Source organism: Homo sapiens, chromosome 17, assembly GCF_000001405.40.
Source record: "Homo sapiens chromosome 17, GRCh38.p14 Primary Assembly".
In the NCBI taxonomy this organism is placed as follows: domain Eukaryota; kingdom Metazoa; phylum Chordata; class Mammalia; order Primates; family Hominidae; genus Homo; species Homo sapiens.
In genome coordinates this window covers 40,470,456-40,475,833 of record NC_000017.11, presented here as the reverse complement: position 1 = coordinate 40,475,833, position 5,378 = coordinate 40,470,456, and the positions used below count along the sequence as shown (strand labels likewise).

The 5,378-nt window shown below is 52.9% G+C and overlaps 2 annotated features.

The window, feature by feature from the left end:
• Positions 3,276-4,165: an enhancer, noted in NCBI's record as "H3K27ac-H3K4me1 hESC enhancer chr17:38627921-38628810 (GRCh37/hg19 assembly coordinates)". NCBI's record gives its function as "activates a minimal SCP1, AML or CMV promoter by ChIP-STARR-seq in naive H9 embryonic stem cells {active_cell/tissue: H9 hESC(naive)}" and the evidence as "EXISTENCE:reporter gene assay evidence [ECO:0000049][PMID:30033119]".
• Positions 4,166-5,057: an enhancer, noted in NCBI's record as "H3K27ac-H3K4me1 hESC enhancer chr17:38627029-38627920 (GRCh37/hg19 assembly coordinates)". NCBI's record gives its function as "activates a minimal SCP1, AML or CMV promoter by ChIP-STARR-seq in primed H9 embryonic stem cells {active_cell/tissue: H9 hESC(primed)}" and the evidence as "EXISTENCE:reporter gene assay evidence [ECO:0000049][PMID:30033119]".

The following is a 5,378-nucleotide window of genomic DNA, read 5'->3' as shown; positions in this document are numbered from 1 at the left end:
CAGTAAGTTCTGAGGCAGTCAGGGCTGTGCCCTTGGAAATGGAGACCTGAAGAGAGAAGGGGGACTGACTTGGGAGGGCGTGGCTGTGTCTTAGGGGAGACCAGGTGTGCCACACTCCCTCCCGCACCCCTGGCCACGGCGCTACAGGCTCAGCAGGCTTCCACTTCGTAAACCATTGCTTAAACCACTCTGTGTCCCCCACATGCCCAACACGCTTGTTCTTCTTTCTTCATCGCCCCTTTCCTGCCACTCTGCCAGGGAAACAAAAGGATTGTGATTTCCCGGGGCCCAAAGTGAGTGTGTACGGTGCCCCTGACGGATTCCAAGGTCTCACTCAGCCCCCACTGAGAGACAAGGAGAGGCGGGCAAAACATGAACCCCTCAAGAGGAGTCCGGAAGAGTCCCCGAACCCAGATGGCCCCAGAGCTGCCAGCTCCGCCCTGAAGAGCTGGACTGTGGTCGGGTGTGGTGGCTCGCACCTGTAATCCCAGCACTTTGGGAGGCCAAAGCGGGAGGATGGATTGAACCTAGGAGTTCGAGACCAGCCTGGGCAACATAGGGAGACCCTGTCTCTACAAAAAAAATACAAAAAGTTAGCCAGACGTGGTGGCACATACCTGTAGCCCCAGCTACTTGGGAGGCTGCGGTGAGAAGATCCCTTGAGCCTGGGGGGTCAAGGCTGCAGTGAGCTGTGGTTGTGCCACTGTACTCCAGCCTGAGTGACAGAGTGAGACCCTGTCTCAAAAAAAAAAAAAGAAAAGAAAAAGAACTGGACCATGGCCTCTTGATCCCACCCTGGGCCTGGGGAGTTCTACCCCCAGCTCCTTCCAGTGGCAGTCCTCCCCTAAGCCAGTCCCAGAGGAATGCCTCCCTCCCAGACCTGCTCCAGACTTCGCTGCAACTAGGGAGCCAAGGCTGGCATGCCCTGAGAAGGCCTCAGCAAGCGATGCAAGAGAGGCTATGGCACTTCTGTTCTCCTGAAAAGTTTTGGGAATGGGAGAGCGCCTCCTTCTCTCTGGGCTGAGCTATGTGACCCAGTGGCAGGGGCCTTGAACCACCGCTGGTTAGCCTCTGCCTCCCTTTCCACTGCCCCAGTGCAGTTCCAGATGGAGACTCCTCTCAGTCTCCTCTCAGTCTCCTGCTGTGGCCCCGCTTGGCCCAGCATGGAACAGAGTTCGTGGAAGGCGATCATTTCTGCTGCATTTGCCACAGCTCATGTTTCCCCTAAGAAGGTTTAGCGGAGAACTTGACTTAAGACTGCTGAGGGCAAAGCAGCCAGCCCGGCAGGGGTGGGAGGGCTGGACAGCAGAGGGGAGGCAGGATAACCACTGAGCCAGGAACCAGGAGGGGAGGAGCCATCTTATCCACCCAAGGACACCAGAGGAGTGTTCTCTCCAGGAGGCTCCAGGCCTTATAGCCCTGGGTCTTAACCCCTGCCGCAGCCCTCGCTCCAGTGTCTCTCTCCCCAGTCTTTTCATCCCTCTCCATCCCTTTCTTGATCTCCGTACACACTCATACCACCCACCCTCCCTCCCTCTCTTCTCCCACTTCCCCTCTCTCCTTTCTCACCATCTCTCCTCATTATGCCTTCTCTACTCGATCACCCCTTTGCAGAGAAACCTTTCCTCCTTCTTGCTCTTTTCCAGTTGAATTTCCTCGCCCCGTTGTCCCAGGTGGCTGGACATGCAGCAGAAGGGAACTGGGGAGACTCTCGCACTGCCAATCATTTCTCAAAACTCAGGTTCCAGTTTGAGACCCGCCTGGCCAACATGGTGAAACCCCATCTCTACAAAAAATACAAAAATTAGCCGGGCAAGGTAGCGCACCTGTAGTCCCAGGTACTCGGGAGACTGAGGCATGAGAATCCCTTGAAACTGGGAGGCGGAAGTTGCAGTGAGCTGTGATCGTGCCACTGCACTCCAGCCTGGTTGACAGAGCAACATGCTATCTCTAAAACAAACAAACAAACAAAAACTCAGGTTCCCACACCCTCTAAACCCTGCCTGCTCTCAGGCTACAGAGACCTCTCCAGGAGGCTGAAGTGCCCTTACCCCGACCATCTGACCAGCCACCGCCCCATGCCCGTGCCCCACCGAGGGCGGAGGCTGCTCACTGCTCTGTTTTATCTCTGGCCTCTGATCCTGCATTCTTGTGCCAGGGCTTAGACCCAGGGCAAGGTCTTAGACCCAGGGCAGGGGTAGGGTTAAAGGCTTTCAACCCAGGGGCCAGTGCCTTAATTCATGCAACAAATGTTTTCTGGCTGTGTGCTTTATTCATGTGAACCAGGAAAACAGAAAAATATGACAGTGTTTCCAACAGAGGTTTATAAGTGCTATGCAGGGCTGGTGGAAAGAGTAGAAACTGAGAAAGATAAACTTTACCCACTTGAAGGGAAGGAGGGCAATGTTACCAAGAAGGTAACATTTGAGTTGGGTCTTCAAGGATGAATAGGAGTTCGGCATGCAAAGAGAGTTAGAAACCAACTTTTAGGAGTGGGGAGGGGCTCTCATGTGCTACATACAATCTGAGGCACATTATATAAGCCTAATCCCATTTTACAGATTAGAAAACTGGGGCTCAGAGGGTTAACTTGCCCACATTCACCTAACTGTAAATGGCAGAGAAACAGGATTTCAAGTCCATGCCCATCCTATTGCCCCAGCATTCACAGAAAGCAGATGGAGACATTCGTGTGTGAAGCACACAGGTATGAAAAGATGTACCAAGTTTGGTGTGGCTCAAGTACATGGTACCTAAGGGAGTAGGTGAGAGAGAAAGCAGAAGAAAAAGACAGCAACAGGACCCTCAGGACCCTTGGGTGCCAGCTGAGAATGTCTGGAGATTGAATACTTGCTGAATGAAGGAGATGGGACTCAGGCCTGCTGTGTATGATTTTGTGGGCTATGCAGTGCATGGTCATACATGGCACCCTGCTTGGGCTTTATCCCATAGGTAATGAGGATGAGATAGGAAGCGGGACTGCACTCCAGAGGCAGGGCTTGGACACAGGTCCAAACTGAGGACTAGCTAAAACAGGGATGGGGTGGGAGGAGCTTTCCATAAGACACACCCACCAGTGTGACATGTCAGTTTACCATTGCCGTGGCAACACCCAGAAATTACCACCCCTTTCCATGGCAGCAACAACCTAATGACCCAGAAGTTATCACCCTTTTTCTACAAATCTCTGCATAATCTGCCCCTTAATTTGCATGTGTTTAAAAGTGGGTGCAAATATGAGTGTGGAAGCTACTGAGCTGCAGCTCTCAGCACACTGGGGTAGCCCTGCTCTGCAGGAGCAGTCACAGGGCTGTGACACTGCCACCTCTAGAAAGCTGCTTTCTTCTATCACCGCTTGCCCTTGAATTATTCCCTGAATGAAGCCAAGAACCCTCCCAGGCTAAGCCCCAATTTGGGGCTCGCCTGCCCTGCATCAGGGAGACATGTCAGCTGAGGAGTAATTGACCAGATTTCTGCTTTAGAAATATGGCAGTGGAGGCAGGAGATGGCATCTGAGGCCCAGGCTGGGGAGAAGGGTGCTGGGATGAGAACCTGGAGTTCAGACCAGGGAAGGGATGAGAGCCTAAGAAGAGGAGCTCTCACCCTGAGACAGGCTGGTGCAGGAGTCTGCTCGATCCAGGCCTGGGTCCCTGGTTCCCTCTGAGCTTGGGAGGACTATGTGAGACAGAACAGGACCAGGGGCCTGCATTCCCCCTTGTATTATTCATCTTCTCGGGCTGCCATAACAAAATACCATAGACTGGGCAGCTTACACAACAGAAATTTATTTTCTCACAGTTCTGGGGGCTGAAAGTCCAGGATCAGGGTGCCATGATGGCCAGGTTTGGATAAGGACTCTCTTCCTGGTTTGCAGATGGCTGCCTTCTCCCTGTGTGCTCACATGGTCTTTCTTCAGTGTGTGTGCATGGAGAAAGAGATCCCTCTCCCTCTCTTCCCTTTCTTATAAAGCCACCATCCTGCCGGGCACGGTGGCTCATGCCTGTAATCCCAGCACTTTGGGAGGCTGAGGCGGGTGGATCATGCACTCCAGCCTAGGCGACAGAGAGAGACTCCGTCTCAAAAACATAAATAAATAAAATACAATAAAATAAAGCCACCATCCTATCTGATTAGAATCTCACCCTTGTGGCCTCACTGAACCTTAATTACCTCAGAAAAGCCTTATCTCCAAATATAGTCACATTGGGAGTGAGAGCTTCAGCATGCGAGTTTGACGGGACACAGCTCAATCCACAGCACCCATCCAGGCAGAGTCCTGCCCGGTCATGTTCCCCATCCCCACCAAGCTGCAGTCCTGGCCAGGCTGGAGCCCTCAGCCCCAGGAAAGGAGACCCTCGATTTCCCAGGCTCCCAGGGCCAGCCAGGGGCTTCTTTTGTAAGTGTTTCCTGGAAGGCTTTTCAGTGTTCTCCTCTCCCCATCTGGACTAGCCAAGAAAGGCAAGTAGAGCTTGGCTGGAGCAGGCCTGGGGGTCAGGCAGACAAGCCAGGAAGGAGGGAACCAGAGAGGAAGAATGAGGAGGGGGTAGGAGGGCAAGCAACACACACTCATTCATTCACGCATTCAACAAATATGCGCTGCACTCCCAGTGAACTACGCAGAGCCAGGCAGGCAGGGTTGGCCAGGAGCTGGGGGAGGGGCCTACGTGTGCCCCAGGAAGCAATGTTCTCCCCTCCAAGAATTCAGACTTGACACCCTGTGAACACTGACAAGGACATATCCTTAGTTCACTCCGCTCCCATCTATGCATGCACACACATACACACGCATGCACACACACACATGCGTGCGCGCGCACACACACACACACACACACTTGCTTCTTCTGCATCAGGAACTGGAAGCCAGCCAGGTGTGGTGGCTCATGCCTGTAATCCCAGCACTTTGGGAGGCTGAGGCGGGCAGATCACTTGAAGTCAGGAGTTCGAGACCAGCCTGGGAAACAAGGAAAAACCCCATCTCTACCAAAAATACAAAAATTATCCAGGGGCGGTGGTGCATGCCTCAGCTATTCGGGAGGCTGAGGCAGGAGAATTGCTTGAACCCAGAAGGCAGAGGCTGCAATAAGCCGAGATCATGCCACTCTACTCCAGCCTGGGCAACAGAGTGAGACTCTGTCTTAAAAAAGAAAAAAAAAAAAAGAAATGGAAACCTGGGTGTCAGGCAGATCTGGTGGCAGGTCCCTTCTGCCACTGGTTAGCTGCACAGTTTGGGGCAAGTCACTTCTCTGGGCATTGAGCCTCAGTTTCCTCAACTGTAATACCCACCTCACAGAATGAAGTTTGTGGGAAGCCTTATAAATGCACCAGTCATGAATGCACTTCAGAGTCTCTGGGGTGCTGTATAAATGCTCCTTATG